The sequence below is a fragment of the Homo sapiens genome, chromosome X (genome assembly GCF_000001405.40).
Source record: "Homo sapiens chromosome X, GRCh38.p14 Primary Assembly".
In the NCBI taxonomy this organism is placed as follows: Eukaryota; Metazoa; Chordata; class Mammalia; order Primates; family Hominidae; genus Homo; species Homo sapiens.
The window spans coordinates 39922162-39940630 of NC_000023.11; the positions used below are offsets into that span (position 1 = coordinate 39922162).

At 48.6% G+C, this 18469-nt stretch overlaps 1 long non-coding RNA gene across 2 annotated transcripts, besides 3 other annotated features; it reads left to right on the forward strand.

Annotated features, from left to right (window-relative positions):
• Window positions 6552-7053: an enhancer, noted in NCBI's record as "H3K4me1 hESC enhancer chrX:39787967-39788468 (GRCh37/hg19 assembly coordinates)". NCBI's record gives its function as "activates a minimal SCP1, AML or CMV promoter by ChIP-STARR-seq in naive H9 embryonic stem cells {active_cell/tissue: H9 hESC(naive)}" and the evidence as "EXISTENCE:reporter gene assay evidence [ECO:0000049][PMID:30033119]".
• LOC105373180 (uncharacterized) lies at window positions 6753-16933 on the forward strand. Of its 2 annotated transcripts, XR_949028.3 has the most exons (5): window positions 6753-6934; window positions 14433-14518; window positions 15148-15281; window positions 15689-15707; window positions 15906-16933. It is a non-coding gene; the product is annotated as an uncharacterized LOC105373180 (long non-coding RNA). The 2 variants fall into 2 exon arrangements; XR_949029.3 differs by lacking the exon at window positions 15689-15707 and having other exon boundaries at window positions 6762-6934.
• Window positions 7054-7553: an enhancer, noted in NCBI's record as "H3K4me1 hESC enhancer chrX:39788469-39788968 (GRCh37/hg19 assembly coordinates)". NCBI's record gives its function as "activates a minimal SCP1, AML or CMV promoter by ChIP-STARR-seq in naive H9 embryonic stem cells {active_cell/tissue: H9 hESC(naive)}" and the evidence as "EXISTENCE:reporter gene assay evidence [ECO:0000049][PMID:30033119]".
• Window positions 14798-15027: an enhancer, noted in NCBI's record as "active region_29533". NCBI's record gives its function as "activates an Ori minimal core promoter by ATAC-STARR-seq in GM12878 lymphoblastoid cells {active_cell/tissue: GM12878}" and the evidence as "EXISTENCE:reporter gene assay evidence [ECO:0000049][PMID:35858748]".
• Window positions 16934-18469: the final 1536 nt, after the last annotated feature.

The following is an 18469-nucleotide window of genomic DNA, read 5'->3' on the forward strand; positions in this document are numbered from 1 at the left end:
ACCTAATAATTTTACTTTTGGGTATTTGCCCAAGGGAAATAAGAGCATAAGTCCATAAAAACACTTGCACCGGAGTGTTCATAGAAACTACATTTGTTGGCCAGGCGCAGTGGTTCACACCTGTACTCCCAGCACTTTGGGAGGCTGAGGCATGGTCATGGCTTAAGGCCAAGAGTTCAAGACCAGCCTGGATAACATAGCAAGACCTTGTCTCTATTAAAAACAGAAATAATTAAAATAATGTTTTAAAAAAGAAACTATATTTGTAATTGCTCCAAATTGGAGTAGACTCCAATATCCATCCACTGATGAATGGATAAACAAATTGTGGTATAGCCATATAATGGAATTCTACTCAACAATATAAGGGAATATGCTACTGATACTCACAACGATGTGAATGAATCTCCTAAGACATTATGTCATGCAAAAGGAACCAAACACAAGAGAGCACATGCTGTATGATCCATTTATATGAACTCCAAGGAGAGATCAAACTAACCTCTGGGGAAATCAGAACAGGAGCTGCCTATGCTGACCAGGGAGGACAGGCTGGGAAGAGAACAAGGAAATGTTTTCAAATGATGGAAATGTTCCAGATCTTGATTGTGGTGGTAGTCACACAGACACGTATATTTGCCAAAACTCATCAAACTGCACACCTTCTGTGCACTTCAATGTATGTAAATTGTGCTTTAATTAAAAATTAAATTTAAAAAGAATCACAAGCATTGGAGATACAGTAGGGAACAGGGTAGACAGAGCCCTGTCCAGAGGGAGCTGCCATCTGGCCCCAGAGCTAATAAGCGACAGAACTGGGGATGAACCGAGATTCTTCTGCCTCCCAAGTCACTCCCAGCTTTCTTCAGCGTTGCCCTGGACAGCACACCCCAGAGCACGATGGGAGCTGCAGCAAGGTCACTGGCAACTGCCCCCAAGACCAAAAGCCCTCCCTCCAAAGGGGCTCAAGCCTGCCCAGTGCAATCCGGCAGCTCAGTGAGGAGACAAACTCAGGGCTCGCAGTCCCGTCCTGCACAGGGGCTGCCAGGCCTTCCCTACCTTTCCTGAAGACCTCTGGCCCACAAGACCTCGCATGAAAAGGAAATTTCATGTATTTATTACTCAGCAGAGGAAATATAAAATACTTAGACCCAGAAATGAAAAGAGCATTTGGACAGTACCAAACTATTAAAGGATTTTCTTGCACATTCTGGCCATTGAAGAGGTGACAGGACAGAGTTGGGGGACCCACGGAGACTGAGGACATGGGAAGGACCAGGCATTGGCTTTCGAGGGATGTGGTTTGTGGATCACTGTTAGATGGTCACTGTTGGGCTGAGGGCCTCAGAGTGACACCAGTTAATGGTCAGTTATTTAATGACTGTTCAGGCTTTTGCCACTCTGGCCCTTAAGCCCCTAGAGGCTGGAGTGACCAGGGAAGTGCACCACGGTGGAAACTGTCACCCACATAAACAGAAAGACCCTGGGCCCTCTGTCCCAGGTTTTCCAATCCCATAGGCACAGCAGGTTAGGTACAGAAGGGAATGTTCTGGAGGCCACCAACTGTCATTCCTTCTACCTTGTAGCATTATGCAGCTCATGTCATCCAACTAGCCCTGCCTCACAAATGAGGTCAGCACTATTGTCCCTATATTACAGATGGGGAAACTGAGTCTTCGAGAGGTTGCTCTCAGACACAGGCCAGAAATGGCAACGTCGGGGCAAGAAACAAGATCTCCCAAGTCCCACACGTGATGTTTTTTCCTCCACGTTCACTTGTAGTGATAGGGAACCTTCTCAGGCCCAAGAACCTTCTAGGACAGTGAGGTTCACAAAGGGCCTGCTCCCTGTGGCAGGCAGCCTCTAAGATGGTCCCCAAATGATCTCTACCTCCTGGTATTCACACCCTTGTGAGATCCCCTCACTCTGAGTGTGGGCTGGAGTGAGGAACTGGCTTCTAACAAATAGAATAAGGCCTGGTGTGGTGGCTCACACCTGTAATCCCAGCACTTTGGGAGGCTGAGGCGGGTGGATTACTTGAGGCCAAGAGTTTGAGACCAGCCTGGGCAACATAGGGAGACCCCATCTCTACAAAAATACAAAAGTTAGCAGGGCGTGATGGCAGGCACCTGTAATCTCAGCTACTCGGGAGGCTAAGGCAGGAGAATAACTTGAACCCAGGAAGCAGAGGTTGCAATGAGCTGAGATTGTGCCACTGCACTCCAGCGTCAGTGACAGAGCAAGACTCTGTCTCAAAAAAAAAAAAAAAATAGTACAGAAGTGATAGGATAGCATTTCTGAGATTAGGTTAAAAAGACTGTGACTTTTATCTTGGGCTCTCTCTGGCTGTCTCTCGGGTCACAAGCTGACATGTCATGAGGGCACCAGCAGCCTATGGAGAGACCCATGTGACGAGGAACCACATGAATGAGCTTGGAGAAGGATCTTCTAGGTCTCCTACAGTCGCTGTGTGAGTGAACCACCTTGGAAGTGGATCCCCCAGCCCTGGTCAAGCCTTCAGATGACTGCAACCCTGGCTGACATTTTGATTGCATTTCAGGAGAGATTGTGAACCAGAACCACCCAATTAAGCCACTCCAGAGTCATGACTCTCAGACAGTGGGAGGAATAATAAATGTTTGTTGTTTTAAGCTGCTAAGTTTTGGGGGTAATATGTTACATAGCAACAGACAATTAACATAGCTTATAACTAATCTCCTAACACTACTACACTAATAACTAGTATTCCCTTCACCTCCAAGTCTTCTCAGGCCAGAGCATGTAACCCTGACTTTCTTGGCCTTACACACAAGCACACCCATACACATACACACACACACACACACACACACACACACACACACACACCTGCTGCTTTGATATTGGTGCATTTGCATTATTTAACTTGGTTTCTTTTTCCCTAAAAAGCATGTGAAAGTTGGTCCTCCTACACAGAAAACATTTGAAATTGCAGTTATGTCATCCTGGGAGAAAGCGAACCTTGAGGTTCCGTGCACTGTACCACTTACCTTGACTGCCTGGAATACATCCCCGTGCCTTTTGCGTGACTGCCTTTGTTTTGAGCACATCCTAAATTGCCTCTAAGCCAAATGCTGAATGTGACCAGAAATGACACAGGATGAATAATGTGGCATATAATTATCACCACATTTCAGATGAGGGCAATGTGCATTTTTCTCAGAGCTAAAGGGATGCAATTTTATTTTGTAATACAAAATGCTCCATTTGGGGGTCAGTTTTCGAGCAGCCCTTCATTCTGAAGCAATTTCACGTGAATAAAGGCATTTGTATTCCTGTACCGCGTAACACACATTATCCCAGCCCCGACTCCTGGTGTACATTTCTCCACGTGATTCCACCTCCTCTCAATGAACCAGCTTCAGATCCGAATGAGAAGGTGAATATGACGATGTTTTTGACTTTTTCACGTCTCTGAGTATTTGTCTCCTTTTCTGCCAACTGAGGATGAGCTGGTTTCTCTACAAACTGCTCTCAGACCCCACCCTGGGGACTGGATCTTTAACGCCCCAAAGAAGGCCCTGCAGACCTTAGCATAGCACTAACCTTTTGTCCTTGATTGATGATGTCCTAATTTTCTTTCTCCCCAAAAGCAGACTCTGGGTCAACGATTTGGGACTGGGCAGCTTATTTGGGAGGTATATGAGTTTGTTCAGGCTGCCATAACAAAATATTACAGGCTGGGTGGGTTAAGCAACAGATACTAGTTTTCTCATAGTGCTGGAGGCTGGAAGCACAACATCAAGGTGCCAATAGAGTCAGATTCCTCTGAGGCCTCTCTCCTTAGCTTGCAGATAGCTGCCTTCTCACTGTCCCTTCACACAATTGTCCCTCTGTGCACACTCTCCTGGTGTCTCTTTTTGTGTCCAAATTTCCTCTTCTCGTAAGGACACCAGGCATATTTCCATTAGGGCTCCACCTTAATTGCCTTATTTTAACTTAATCATGTCTTTAAAGGCCCTAACTCCAAACACAGTCACATTCTAAGGTCCTGGCGTTCGGGCTTCAGCATATGAATTTGGCAGGACACACTTCAGCCCATAGAAGGAGGTGATCATGGGTAAGGAGAACACCGATAGAAGATGCGTTGAGGAGCGGGGGTTTTCTGTGGGCAACTGGGGCTCAGGCTCTCAGGGGGCCTCGCTGGGAGAGTGCACTACAGAATTATCCCACCAAAGGGCAAGGAAGATGGGATGCTGATGCACCCATGGATCCCCCATTGATCAAGTATTCACTACTAAGGCCAGGTGTGGTGGCCCACACCTGTAATTCCAGCACTCGGAGAGGCTGAGGCGGGAGGATTGCTTGAACCCAGGAGTTCGAGACCAGCCTGGGCAACATAAGGAGACCCCATCTCTACAAAAATACAAAAATTAGCCGGGCAAGGTGACGTGCACCTGTAGTCCCAGCTACTCGGGAGGCTGAGGTGGGAGAATCACCTGAACCTGGGAGGTCAAGGCTGCAGTGAGCTGATTGTGCCACTGCACTCCAGCCTGGGCAACAGAGAAAGACCCTGCCTCTCTCCAAAAAAAAAGAGAGAGAGTTCATGCTAGAGGCAGTTCCTACCCTGTTGCTTTCCAGGCTGAGGGCATGCCCGTGACTAGAAAATACCCTCAGGCAGAGAGAAAGGAAGCCTTGGGAATATACTGGAAGGACTGCAGGTGAGATGCCCCAGAAATTCCAAAGGAAGGGCAACCACTTTGAAAAGAGAGAACAACAGCTGAATTTTATTTCCAGCTGTGATATGATTATTATTTAAAAGTGATAGTTATAAGACTACACTGGCTCAGAACAGGATCGTCTACCCCAAGCTCCCTTCTTTACAGGCAGTTGTGGCTTAGCAAGGTGACCTGCCATGCCTAAAGTTGACAAAGGGAAGGAGAGAAATGAGACCTAGACCCGAATGTCCAGACTTCCAGACCAGTGCCGTCTCCACCCCTACAGGCTGCTTCCTCGTGTTCCTTTTTTTTTTTCTCAGTGAGCAAGAGCAGGCTTGGATTTGATAGTCCCTTCGCTGGTTAATAAACTCTCAGCACATCAGAAGATACAAATGAAAACAATGAAAAATCTAAAAAAGGTCAATGGTCATTCCCTTCCCACACACCGTTTCCACATCAGGAGCCAGCTAGAGACCCCAAGAGCCAGTCAGAAAAGAGAAGCCACCCTCCAGTCATAGAAGGCTGGATGTTAAGCCATGCCCAAGTCCCACATGTGAGCAGAGGAGGCTTCCAGAAGCTGCAGGACCTTGCCAGAAGGCGCCGAAGTCTTCTAAGTGCCCCATCCTACAGAGAAGTAGGCTCTCCCTTGGGAGTCAGAACCATCAATAATAATAAAACAAGACACTTTTATAGATTTTGCAATTTATGTTGCTCATTTATTCCTCACAACGACCTTGTAAGGTCAATATCACTGGCCCCATTTTATGGACATGCAAACTGCACACTCTGGCTCAGTGAATGTCACTTAGGACCATGCCTTCAGGTAAATTGAGCACTTCATCTTGAAATTGGAATGCTTACTCGGTTGAGGCAAAAGTCTCCACTAAGGCAGCCTGCAAAGGCTGGTCAAAAATCAAGGCCCTCCTGCTTTCATCTCTACAGGGTGCCAAGGGCTGCTGGCACCAACATTTCAGTTAAAGCTTTTCCATCTCTCACCAGGGCCCATGAGGTTTCTAGAACGTTCCAAGAGCAGCAGCTCCAGCAGTAAGTCATGCAGAACTGCTGCTGGTTATGAGCCACAGCAGAGCAAGGAGAAAGCTGTGAATGCTGGCTTGCAGCCTGAGGAAAGGAAGATGGTGGACAGTCACTCTACTGTCCACATAGGGAGCATCTTAAGTCCACTGAGGAGGAAAAAATCAAATTCCAGAACTGATGACCACTGAACTGAACTTTTGGAGTCTGCTCATGCCGAGAGGACCTAGGCATGGTGAGCAAATCTCTCACCAGGGGCCAACCAGCATTATGCGTCTTCAGATGAAGCCTGAAAGACAGAGGCCAGTGGAGCATCTGCCTACCAGCCACTCCATCCATCCATCTATCCATTCTTGCTTTCATCCAGTGAATATTTCGTAAGTGCCTGCTCTGTGCCAGGCATTGTTCTAGGCACTAAGGACACAATAGTGAACAAAACAAATGAAATATTTGCTTTCACGGAGGCTTCCATTCCAATGGGAGGAGGAATAGACAATAAACAAGATCCATAAAAAGGGTACATATGCAGCCAGGAGCCGTGGCTCACGCCTGTAATCCCAGCACTTTAGGAGGCTGAGGCAGCAGATCACCTGAGGTCAGGAGTTCGAGACCAGCCTGGCCAACATGTTGAAACCCTGTCTCTACTAAAAATACAAAAATTAGCCAGGGGTGATGGTGCGCACCTGCAATCACACCTACTCAGGGGGTTGAGTCAGGAGAATTGCTTGAACCTGGGAGTAGAGGTTGCAGTGAGCCGAGGTTGCACCACTGCACTCCAGCCTAGGCAACAGAGGGATACTCCGTCTCAAAAAAAAAAAAGATGATGATGCTATGGGTTTTGGACTGCTCAGTGGACCGCTGGGGCTGCAGGAGGCTGTAAGGAGGAGCAGGTGTGGGGGCAGGTTCAGGCCATGCTGAGTTTCTGCTGTCTACTGGACATCTAAGGCCACCTTTTTAAGTGTGGCTCACAGCAGGCCTTCCTCAGGCTGTTGGATCTCTTCTCTTCTGTTTATCTGGCCCCTTGGTGGCCTCGCCCCACCTCATAGCTCTACATGCTGAACATTCCCGAAGGAGCAATGAGGCTGAAGAGGCAGCTGTGGTTCAGGGGAGAGGCCCAGGATAGAGCTATGCATTTGAGCCCATGGACCCCAAGAGTGGATGGACCCCAAGATCTAGGAGACCAAGCCTAAAGGAGAAAACAACAGGTCAGACGCCTCTGCTTGCAGGGAAGTGCCTGCACTGCTAGGAAATGAGGCACAGCCCTCACTCTTGGCAACCAGGACACCTTATGCCCGGGACACTGGGGGTGGGGGGTGGGGTATGGAATCTGTGGGTGTGCCAGGCAAACAAAGAGCAGGGTGCAGAGGCATGGGCGGGGCCCCTGACGCAAAGGACCCCTCTCCAGTTCTCGATTAGCTGGGTTCAAGCAAGGCCTGAGGGCTAAGGCAAGCTATTCCAGGCTGATTCAGAGCTGTAATTGCCAGTTATATATTTCTCTGATTGACTGAAAAACAATCAAATGAATGAATTCATGACTAAACAATTTATAGACAGACTCGGGAGGTGACACTCAAGCTGCCTCCTGACAGTAGGCTGCGAGCGAGTCAGGAGGGGCTGGAGAACATTATTATTCTAGAAAAAAAGAAAGTCATTGGGGGCAGCCATGTGGGGTGCGCTGGGCGCACCGGTAGCTTGGTGTTTCTGCAGCAGAGGGCGAGGAGCATTGAGCCTGGAGAGGTAGCTCAGAGAGGGGATTATAAACCACCGCAAGGAACTTGGCCTTCATCTCCAGACACTGGAAACCCCACAAACGGTTTTCAGGAGGGAATAACAGAGTCCAATGTGCATTTTAAAGAGACCATTCAGGCTGTTCTGCGGAGAGCAAATTTGAATAGCATGGGGCAGGCAGTCGAGAGGCCTGGGAGTGGAGATGGGCTAGGGAGATGCTCCCACTGCGTCAATGACTTCCCCCACCCCCCAGCCCCGGTGGAATCCAATAGGCCAGGAATCTCTGGCCTTCCCCACATAGCCACTGTCAACCTGGGAGTCCTGGGAGAGATTTCATAAAAGGGGTCCCTAGGGGAGAAGGGTGGGGACCCACTGCTAGGGAAGCCTCATCTGTCAGTCTTCCTGGAAGCCAATGACAGCAGGGCCCCTTGGGAATGCAGATGACAAGGCGTCTCCAGGCAGAGCAGGAGGCTGAGAGGTGAGGCAGGAGGGGCCACGATTCTCCATTCCGCCCTTGCCAGCCCAGAAAACAATCACAGGAACCAAGGCGTATTCATTCCCAGCAAGAGTGGGTCACTGGGAAGAGAGAGGCACCCCGATTCCAGATGAAAGTTTTGATCCCCCCAAAAAGAGAAGGCCTGTTCTTCAGGCCCCTACAGCTCAAAGGGAAGGTCCAGGGCTGTCTAGAGCCCTTGGATGTGCATTCCCTGCACCCACCCTCCGTCACCCTACCCTGCCTGCTGGCTCTGTGTGTGCTGGACAGATGGATAATAAGTTCACAAATCAACACATCAAAGCCGACTAAGAAAAGGCAAACCAGGGAAACTGAGGCCTAGCCAACTGCAGCTGAACTCCATGCTGAGAATTGAGGTCTAGGCTCCGGCCCGCAGAGAAGCCATCCCTCTCCCCACGAGCACGGCCCCCTCAGAGCCCCTCGCTCCTTTCTCACTGTTATTCTTTGTTTTCCACAAGGATTCCTCGCGCTGGTTCTGCTAAGGCCCCAGTGCTGGTGTTAGCTCAGGTCTACACTGCAAGCCTAGGAGATTAAAGAACTTTCCCCAAATCCCCCCGCAAATCAGAGTAGCGCCGGTGTAGCCAAGATTCCCAAGCAGAGAGCAGAGAGCAAATCCCATCCAGGCACCAGGGAACCCTCTCTCCGGGTCTCTCAAGGCCTCTGAAAGCCACGGGCTGGCCAGCGAGAGACCTCATTAAAACGGCTCGGTGGCCTGCGTTTGCTGCAAACCCATTAAACAGCCAACATAATCCATTCATACATAAAAATAAGGGAAGGGGAAGGAGCGTGGTCCCACAGGATGTGTGTCTGAGAGAAACCGATTCCATAAAAATCCAAACAGAAACGAAGTTCACGGGGAGGTTTTGGCTGCAGTCGTGTTTTGGCTTCTGGAAATTCCAGCTAGGAAAAGCTTCCCTTTGTGGCCCGTTTGGAAGCACTCAGGCTGGGATTCACAGAAACAAGGGAGAAGTGAGGGGGTACCTGGTTTCTTTGCTAACCACCCTATAGCTAAGGAATTATTCTAGAAACCTGGGGTATTTGTTGAAAAGGGCCAGTTAGGGTCCCGGTGGCAGCTCAGAGGGCTGGAATATGTGGAGAGGGCAAGGTACTAGTTAACATAGACCTACCTCGGCCACCCCAAAGCCAGGCCACTAGGCTGGGTGTCCACAACAGCTGTGGCCATGGAGATGCTCCCAGAGCTTTGGAAAAGGAAGGAAGACTCCAAGATTTAAATAACTCAGGCAGCAGGATCCCTGTTCTTCCCATGGGAAACTATTTCACAGGCCAAGAAACCCCACCATAGGGACCCTTCTCTACAGCCCTCACTGAGGCCAGTACACCATGTGTACTCGAGAACAGATACATGTCATCTTGCAGAAGAGAAGGTTAGGAGCTGTTGGATGATTTTTTTAATAAGCTGGTAAACCAGTATTTTTATTCTCTGTCATCTAAAAAAAAAAAAACACAGAAGAATGCAGCTAGTTTCTTAAATTAGAGATCTGTTGTGTAATTAGTCCATTTTATCTTCTGCGAGTTGTTGCTGTTTTCCCTCTGTGGTTTCCAGAAATGTCATTGGCTGGGCTTAAAAGTAGGGTTTTTTTTTTCTTCCAGAGAAAAATTCTATAAATATTTTCTCCCTTTTAGCATGTTTTAAATTTGAACGACATATTGTAAAGATAGCAAGAGTTATGAAAGCCTCTCTTGGCCGCCAATGAAATGCAGTGGGAAAACTGATTAGAGAGGGAACTTCTACCCACAGAGAACACAGTTGGGCCCTCCCCAGAGGGGTTCAGGAGCCAGAGTACCCCAGCTTCCTCTGCTCACTGGTACTCAGGCTTGGGAACTGGAGAGAAGGGGAGGCCACTCTCAAGGTGGGCAGGCAGGCTATACTTGAGGAAATGGTGTCCCTTGCTGATGGTCAGGATTTCACCCTTAGTGATTCATTTCTTTGGATGGGATTTTAGGCATGAATTTGACATAGTCAGGTATACATTAATGGTTTTCCATGTTAAAATGCATACCCTTTTCTCCAACAAAGGTATACAGGTATACCATATGTGAGTAAAAATCTATGTAAAGGGATCTTCATGACAGGATGATTTGTAACTAAAAATGACCAGAAACAACCTGAGTTAAAATCCATTGATAGGAGACTGGTTAGACAAAGTCTGTTATACCCATAAAAGATGTTATGCTGCCATTAAAGAGAATGCAATAGAACTATAGATATTGGTGCAGAATGTTGGGTGAGATTATACTGTTAAGTGAAAAAACAGGAAATAGGGAATTTTATGGTATGTTTATGATACGCCATCATGTGTCTTTTTAAAAAGGACATATGTGCATAACCTTGTGTTAGAAGTTGGCAGCTGGGATAGCCTTCAAGAAGGAAAGTAGAGCCAGGAGGGGGACTTGCTTTTTACTATACACACTGTTCTCCTGTTGTACTGTCCACTCACAGTGCTATCACTTGCCTTTCTTTAAAATAACACATTTATATATAATCATATACATATAGCCTTGTATATATGCCTCAATTATCTTGGGAGGCATATATAAGAAGTTGGGAGGCCAGGCGAGGAGGCTGACACCTGTAACCCCAGCACTTTGGGAGGCCAAGGCAGGCGGATCACCTGAGGTCAGGAGTTCGAGACCAGCCTGGCCAACATGGTGAAACCCTGCCTCTACTGAAAATACAAAAATTAGCCAGACATGGTGGTGCACGCCTGTGATCCCAGCTACTCAGGAGGCTGAGGCAGGAGAATCGCTTGAACCTGGGAGGCAGAGGTTGCAGTGAGCTGAGATCGTGCCACTGCACTCCAACCTAGGCGACAGAGCAAGACTCTGTCTCAACAACAACAAAAAGAAGTTGGGGGAGGCGGGGCTGGGCACGGTAGCTCATGCCTGTAATCCCAACACTTTCAGAGGCCAGGGCAGGCAGATCACTTGAGGTCAGGAGTTCGAGACCAGTCTGGGCAACATGGGGAAACCCTGTCTCTACTAAAATTACAAAAATTAGCCAGGCGTGGTGGCAGGTGCCTGTAATCCCAGCTACTCGGGAGGGTGAGGCAGGAAAATCGCTTGAACTTGGGAGGCGGAGGTTGCAGTGAGCAGTGATCATGCCGCTGCACTCCAGGCTGGGCAACAGAGCAAGACTCTGTCTCAAAAAAAAAAAAAAAGGAAGTTGGAGGCAACAACATAGAGAAACATCTCTTGATTCCAAGGTATGCCCTTGAAGTAATTTGACATTTGAAAGAGGCTGTTCAGCCGGGTGCAATGGCCCATGCCTGTAATCTCAGCACTTTAGGAGGCTGAAGCAGGAAGATTGCTTGAGGCCAGGAGTTCAAGATCAGCCTGGGCAACATAGCGAGACCTCATCTCTACAAATAAAAAAAAAATCAGCCAGGCGTAGTGGCTTGTGTCTGTGGTCCCAGCTACTCGGTAGGCTAAAGTGGGAGGATCACTTGAGCCGCACCACTGCACTCCAGCCTGAGCAACAGAGTGAGACCCTGTCTCAAAAAAAAAAAAAAAAAAAAAAGAGAGAGAGAGAGAGAAAGGCTGTTCTGGGGATGATTTTAGATGGGTGGGCTGATCCCTCAGAAGGTGGGAGAATAAATTCTATTCTGCATGCCTTTGGATCCACATAGAGAACATGGGTTAATGTTCCCAGCCATATGTTCCCAAAGGCCCCCTGGTATGTCCTATTCTGTGCCCACAAAACCCCATGTCTATTGCTATTGCTGCATGTTAGGAATCGGGTTTCTTTGCCTGTCTCCATCCATGGACAGGATGTTTGTTGCAGTCAGGGATGGGTTTATTCCAGTTTGCAGCCCCAGGACCCAGCTCAGAGCCTGTGGCTTAGAAGTAGGTACTAGCATCAGTTAGATCTGGGCACAGCTATGAGACTTCAGGACTCAGAACCTCACTTTCTTCATCTGTAAAATGTGAAGGGTACTAAATCTTCTTCCTAATGCTGGTTATAAAGATGACATCATATAACAAGTCTGCCCGGCACATGGCGGGGGCTTAGTGATGATAATAGCTTAGTCTAAGATAATATCTCAGTAAATGTTTATTGAACGAATAAATTCCTCCCATGAGGTTGAGGTGGGTTAAAATGCAAATACCTGGCCTGGCACAGTGGCCCCCACCTGTAATCCCAGCACTTTAGGAGGCCGAGGCGGGAGGATCACTTGAGGTCAGGGGTTCGAGACCAGCCTGGGCAACATGGCAAAACGCTGTCTCTACTAAAAACACAAAAAATTAGCTGAATGTGGTGGTGCATGCCTGTAGGCCCAGCTACTTGGGAGGCTGAGGTGGGAGGATCCCTTGAACCCAGGAGGTGGAGGTTGTAGTGAGCCAAGATCGGGCCACTGCACTCCAGCCTGGGTAACAGAGTGAGACCCTGTCTCAAAAAAAAAGCAAATACTCCCGACACTAACACTTTCAGATCCTGTTGCCGGTTAAGAATAAGTTTATCAGATAAGTTCTCCTCCCAGCCCCTGTGGCTGCCTGAGACCACCTTGCACCTGAAGAAAGACGGTGGGCAAACAAGGAAGAGCAAGGAGGAAGTACTTGCCAAGGATGGGAGACAAAGCACCCAGGAAGAGTCACAGCAGCTACATCCCTGAGCACTTGTCATGTGGCTGGCATTGAGCCCAGCTCTATTAAAAAAAAAAAATGACAGCCAGGCATGGTGGCTCACGCCTGTAATCCCGGCACTTTGGGAGGCCAAGGCAGTTGGATCATTTGAGGTCAGGAGTTTGAGACCAACCTGTTCAACATGGTGAGATCCCGTTTCTACTAAAATACAAAAATTAGCTGGGTATGGTAGCAGACACCTGTAATCTCAGCTACTTGGGAGGCTGAGGTGGGAGAATTGCTTGAACCCAGGAGATGGAGGTTGCAGTGAGCCAAGATTGCACCACTGCACTCCAGCCTGGGAGAGAGTGTGAGATTCCCTTTCAAAAAAAAAATAATTTAAAAAAAAACAAAATATGAGATGGTGTCTTGCTATGTTGCCCAGACTGGTCTCAAACTCCCGGGCTCAAGCAATCCTCCTGCCTTGGCCTCTCAAAGTCCTGGGATTACAGGGGCCCGGCCTCAGCTCTTACAAGTGCTATCCAGTTGAAGTCTCCCAGTAACCCTGGAAAGAATCTTTTATTGTCCTCATTTTCCAGACCAGGAGACTGGGGAGCCAGGAAGGAAAATAACTCACAAGATTATGAAGCCAAAATTTGAACCCAGTTCCATCTGACTCCAAAACTCATGCTGTCACCCAGCCTTGCCAGCCTGCCTGCTGGTGGGCCTCCTGGTGGCTCTGTGTAGCCCGGGCCTTGTACATGCCAGTCGCTTAGGTCTGTCACGCCCCAGAGTGTTGGTTTACTGAGAGCCAGGGAAATCTTCGTGCCAAAGGGGCCTGAAAACCTCTCAGTCACAGATGAAAAACAAATCTGCGTATGTCCATTCGGGGCTCGTGCGGCTGGTAGCGGCCAGGCCCTGGGGAGCGCCCCTTCTCTGAGCCATCACCAGGAGGCAGGCAGCCTCTTCCACGGCTCTTTCCCTCCCAGAAGCCTGGAGGCCACTGACTGTGAGGACATCACTAAGCTCTCCGAGAGGAATGGACTCAACTGCAGGGGGTTCAGTGACTCACCTCCAGCCAGGCCCTCCCAGGAAGAACCTGTGGCTGTACAACCCTCCACCCCCCAGTGCCATCTTGCCAAGGTTTTGCCCGGCGTCGTCGACCTGGGGTGCAGAAAGCAGCCGGTGAATGGCAAAAAAGGGGCCTGCAGTCAGCAGGGCCTGCCTGTACCTCCCCACACACAGAGGACCTCGCTCGGGCCACCGGAGAGTGTGCTGGTACTGCCTGGAGGGGCCCAGGCAGCCAAGGAACAGCCTTCTTGGGCGGCCGTGCAGCCTGCCTGAGGGGCCAGGTCTCTCCAGCCTGCCAGAAGCCGGTGGCCCAGCACTGGCAGGAGACTCTCCTGACCTGCCCCAGCAAGCCCACAGGGGAAGGCTCAAGCTGTTAAAGTGGCACTAGCAGAAGGGAAGTAATGGGCACTGGGATTCTTGACAACATTTCCGTTCGGGCTGGTTCCGCGTTTCCCTCAAGCGAAGGTAATGCTGTTTCCAGCATCTGAGCTCCTAGAGGAGAGGGAAACATCCCTGCTCAGTGCCTGGCTGCAGAGGGAGGGGTAAGACACACAGGAGCCTGCTGGAGGGTGAGGGAGGGGAAAGGGGCAGGACAGCCACCTGTGCCCAGGAGAACCATCTGCCTGGTCACTCTTAGCCCAACAAATGGCCAAACAAAGATGAGCTTCTGAGTGACCCCGACAACTGAAAGCGGCCAAGGCTGAAGTCCACGGTGGGAAGCCAGAACTTTGACATCCACTAGCTTACAAGTCAACGTTGCATTCTCTCTCTCTCTCTCTCTCTCTCTCTCTCTCTCTCTCTCTCTGCAGTCAGGAACAGCACTGGAAGCCAACAGGCCAGATGGAGTTAGTCCTGAAGTCAAACTTTCAGAAAGAAAAATGTCTTAGTCTTCAAGGTGAGTGTGCCAGTTGCCTACCAGCAGATCAGTTGGTCATAGTGGACCCCAGACTGCACAGGCTTTGGAAACAGTCTGCTGTTTAGAGAGTAGTCTAGGTTCACTTTGGAGGGCTTCTGGAGACCTGCTTCCGTGTCCTCTTTGTCCCCCACCCCACCCCACCACCTCTGCCAGGCCTGCCCCTTAGCAAACTCAACCCTTAAGCATTGAAGCATACTAGGGCTCCTTGGTTCTTAAGGTAACTTGAGATCCCTCAGGTGTGGCATTTAAAAGCAAAGGTTCTAGATTTGGACAAATTTAGGTTTGAATCCCAGTTCTGCCTCCTACTAGCCGTGGACTTTGGGTAAGCTATTTGAGCTCTCTGGGTTTCACTTTCCTTATCTGAAAAATGAAACTAATAGTAATACTTATGCAGGGTGGCATTGTAAAGTTTAAAGAACAGAAGTGAAGTGTTCAGGGTTTAGCCCAGCACCCAGCACACAGTAGACACTCAACAAATGTTGGTACCTCCAGCACCCCAGAATTCTAGCCTGGGACAATCCAGGGCAGGCTGGCTGAAGCTCAAAGCAGCAAGACGGCCGCCAAAATGTAATCTACTCACTGGCTGATTCTCCAAAATACCCTCCCAGTCTATGCATCCTGGGCTCTGTCCCTAAGAGGAAGCCAGACCTTTCTGCTCACCAACTCGTCCCCCTGCACCTTCCTGATTGAAGCCACATTCCACGTCATGCCTGTACATCTTCCCCTCGCCCTTCAGACCCAGGTAGGGGCGCTCCCTGAGCCCCCAGCGGGGGGTGGGGCGGGCACCCATTGGCAGAGAGCAGAGACGCTGGGCTCCTGACCTCAGCACACATAGGTGATGCTCCAAGGGGGCTGCGCTCAGACACATCTTAAGGGGAAACCACAAGACTGAGCCATTGTGCTTATTGGCGCCATAAATCACCAACGGTTCCTATCTTGCTGCACCTCCCTGCCCCCGCTCCCTTCCAGCTAAGCTGTCCCAGGGCCCGCCCCCCCACCACCTCCCGACACCACCACCAGGGCCTGCATGACTCCCCAAGTCGGGGGCCAGAGCCACCCGCTCACTTACAAGCAGGATGAGTTCCGCGGAGTTTATTTGTTCTCCTTCTTTTTCAAAAATCTGAACTGCCTTTGTTCCTGAACAATAAGGAGTGTGCAGCTATGGAAGGTGAGGGGCCACGGGTGGATTGGGGTGGGGTGAGAACAAGGGCTTGGGGGGTCGAGGGCAGGCCTAGAGAGCTTGGATGCTCGGCAAGCCCAGGGCCAGCGCTCCCCTGAACTCTGGCCCCTGGCCAGCCCTCCTCAAAGCTGAGATGACTTCCTGGCTTCTGTATCCAGAACACATTCTCTATTACTCTGTCCACAGCCCTTTTTTCAAAATGGTCACAGGGTTCAACTCAGCCTAACTGGACACAGGCCTGGTCCCTGCAGCATCGAAGAAGCCAGGGGTAGCATCTTTGGCCAAGTCACCCACTGACCCCCACGGCCTGGCAACTTTTGTGCTTCCCACCTGCATGTCACCTCTGGGGGTCCCTTCCCTCCAAGAACGTTGCCATCAGGTGGTCTTTCTGATTTCCTCTGCTTCAGCAAAGGCCTTATTTTTTACTCAAGAGCCTGGCTTCCTGATCTGCACAAAAGAGACTCTCCAGATGTGTCCTGGAAAATCCCCCAAAAGTAGGGGGAAAGGTCCCAGTCAAAGCCAAAGCAAGGAAGAGGAAAAAGAGGAAGGAGGAAACTGTCATGGGATAAGATTTTGTCACATATCTGTAATTAAAGGTCCTCTTATATGTGCATACACAAACACACGCACGTATACGCATAACACGGTTAACAAATATTAAGATCTTAACAGTGGCCTTCTCTAGGAAAGATGGGATTATGGGTGACTTTGATTCGCCTCTATCCTAGCTCTCCTCTTACTAGCTGTGTGATTTAGAGCAGGTTAGCTAGCCTCTCAGTTACTCAGTTTCTTCACCTGTAAAATGGGGCCATCATTCTTCTCAGTGTACTATATTGTGAAGATTAAATGAGATTATACATATCAAGATCTCAGAACAGTGCCAGGCACACGTAGTAGAGGTTGAGCATTCTTAATCTGAAAACCAAAAATCTGAAATGCTCCAAAGTCCAAAACTTTTTGAATGCCAACATGACACCACAAGTAGGAAATTCTACACCTGACCCCATGTGATGGGTCGCAGTCAAAAGACCATCAAAACTTTGTTTTGTGAACAAAATTATTAATAATATTGTATAAAATTACCTTCAGGCTACACATGTAAGATGTATATGAAACATTAATAAATTTTGTGTTTAGACTTGGGCCCCAACCCCAAGATATGTCATCATGCATATGCATATATTCCAAAATAAAAAAAAATCCAAAATCCAAAACACTTCTGGTCCCAGGATTTAGGATAAGGAATATGCAACTTGTAACAGAATCAACAAATACAACAACTATAATTATTTCTCCCTGTCTCCTTAGCCTTTTGCAAAGGGTATGCATTGCTTTGTAAATTTTTTTAAGCGTTGTATTGTTTTAATTCAAAAAGTAGCTGGCACGGGGGCTCACGCCTTTAATCTCAGCACTTTGGGAAGCCGAAACGGGTGGATCACGAGGTTAGGAGTTCGAGACCAGCCTGACCAACATGGTGAAACCCCATCTTTACTAAAAATACAAAAATTAGCCGGGCGTGGTGGCGCACGCCTGTAATCCCAGCTACTCAGGAGGCTGAGGCAGGAGAATTCCTTGAACCCGGGAGGCGGAGATTGCATTGAGCCAAGATGGCGCCACTGTACTACAGCCTGGGCAATAGAGTGAAACTCCGTCATAAAAAATAATAATAATAATAAAACAAGTAATGTGTGCTTATTTTAAAAAGCAAACAATTCCCAGAAAAAAAAGGTGAAACTCTCCCATCACTCTGCTTCCTGATACAGCTTTTCTCCCTAGAGGGACCATGCCTGCAGCCTGGCCGTAGGGCTCATGGCCTTTCTCTCTGTGTTAATAAGCACACACAGGGATTGTTATGTACAAATGAACTCAGGCTATACATATGGATTTGCAATTGGCTTTTATTCACTTCATTTCTGGAAGGACATTCTATCTCAGTCCATATTATACTTTTTAACTGTTATATAGTATTTCATGACATGGATATTGCTTATTTATGTAACCATCCCCTTCTACTGGACATATAGGTTGCTTCGCAATTTTTGTCATAAAACAATGATGCTGTAAACGTTCCTGGATATATGCCTGTCTGCTCATGTTGGTTTGAAGGAATGAGACCTAAAAGTAGAAATTCTGGGCCAAAGGCTATGACCACATTTAAATGCACAAATATGGTAGAATTGTTCTCCAAAGAGGCTGCCCCAACTTAAATCCTCACAGGCAGCATGAGCGTGCCTCTTTCTTTTTTTTTTTTCTTTTTTTTTTCTTTTTTTTTTTGAGACAGAGTCTGGCTCTGTCGCCCAGGCTGGAGTGCAGTGGCGCAATCTCAGCTCACTGTAACCTCTGCTTCCCAGGCTCAAACAATTCTCCTGCCTCAACCTCCCAAGTAACTGGGACTACAGGCGCACACCACCACACCAGGCTAATTTTTGTATTTTTAGTAGAGACAAGGTTCCACCATGTTGGCCAGGCTAGTCTCAAACTCCTGGACTCAAGTCATCTGCCAACCTCAACCTCCCAAAGTGCTACAATTACAGGCGTGAGCTACCGCACCTGGCTGAGAGTGCCTCTTTCTTTCTACCATCTCCAATACCATTCTTTTCTTTTTGCCAACGTGATGGGTAAAAAACAGCATCCTGTTGCTGCTCGGATGTGCATTTCTCTGCCTAAAAGTGAGGGTGAGCATCTTCTCACATGCTGTGGGTTATTTGTGTTTGGGAGGCCTTCCTACCCCCATGATTATTACATAATCC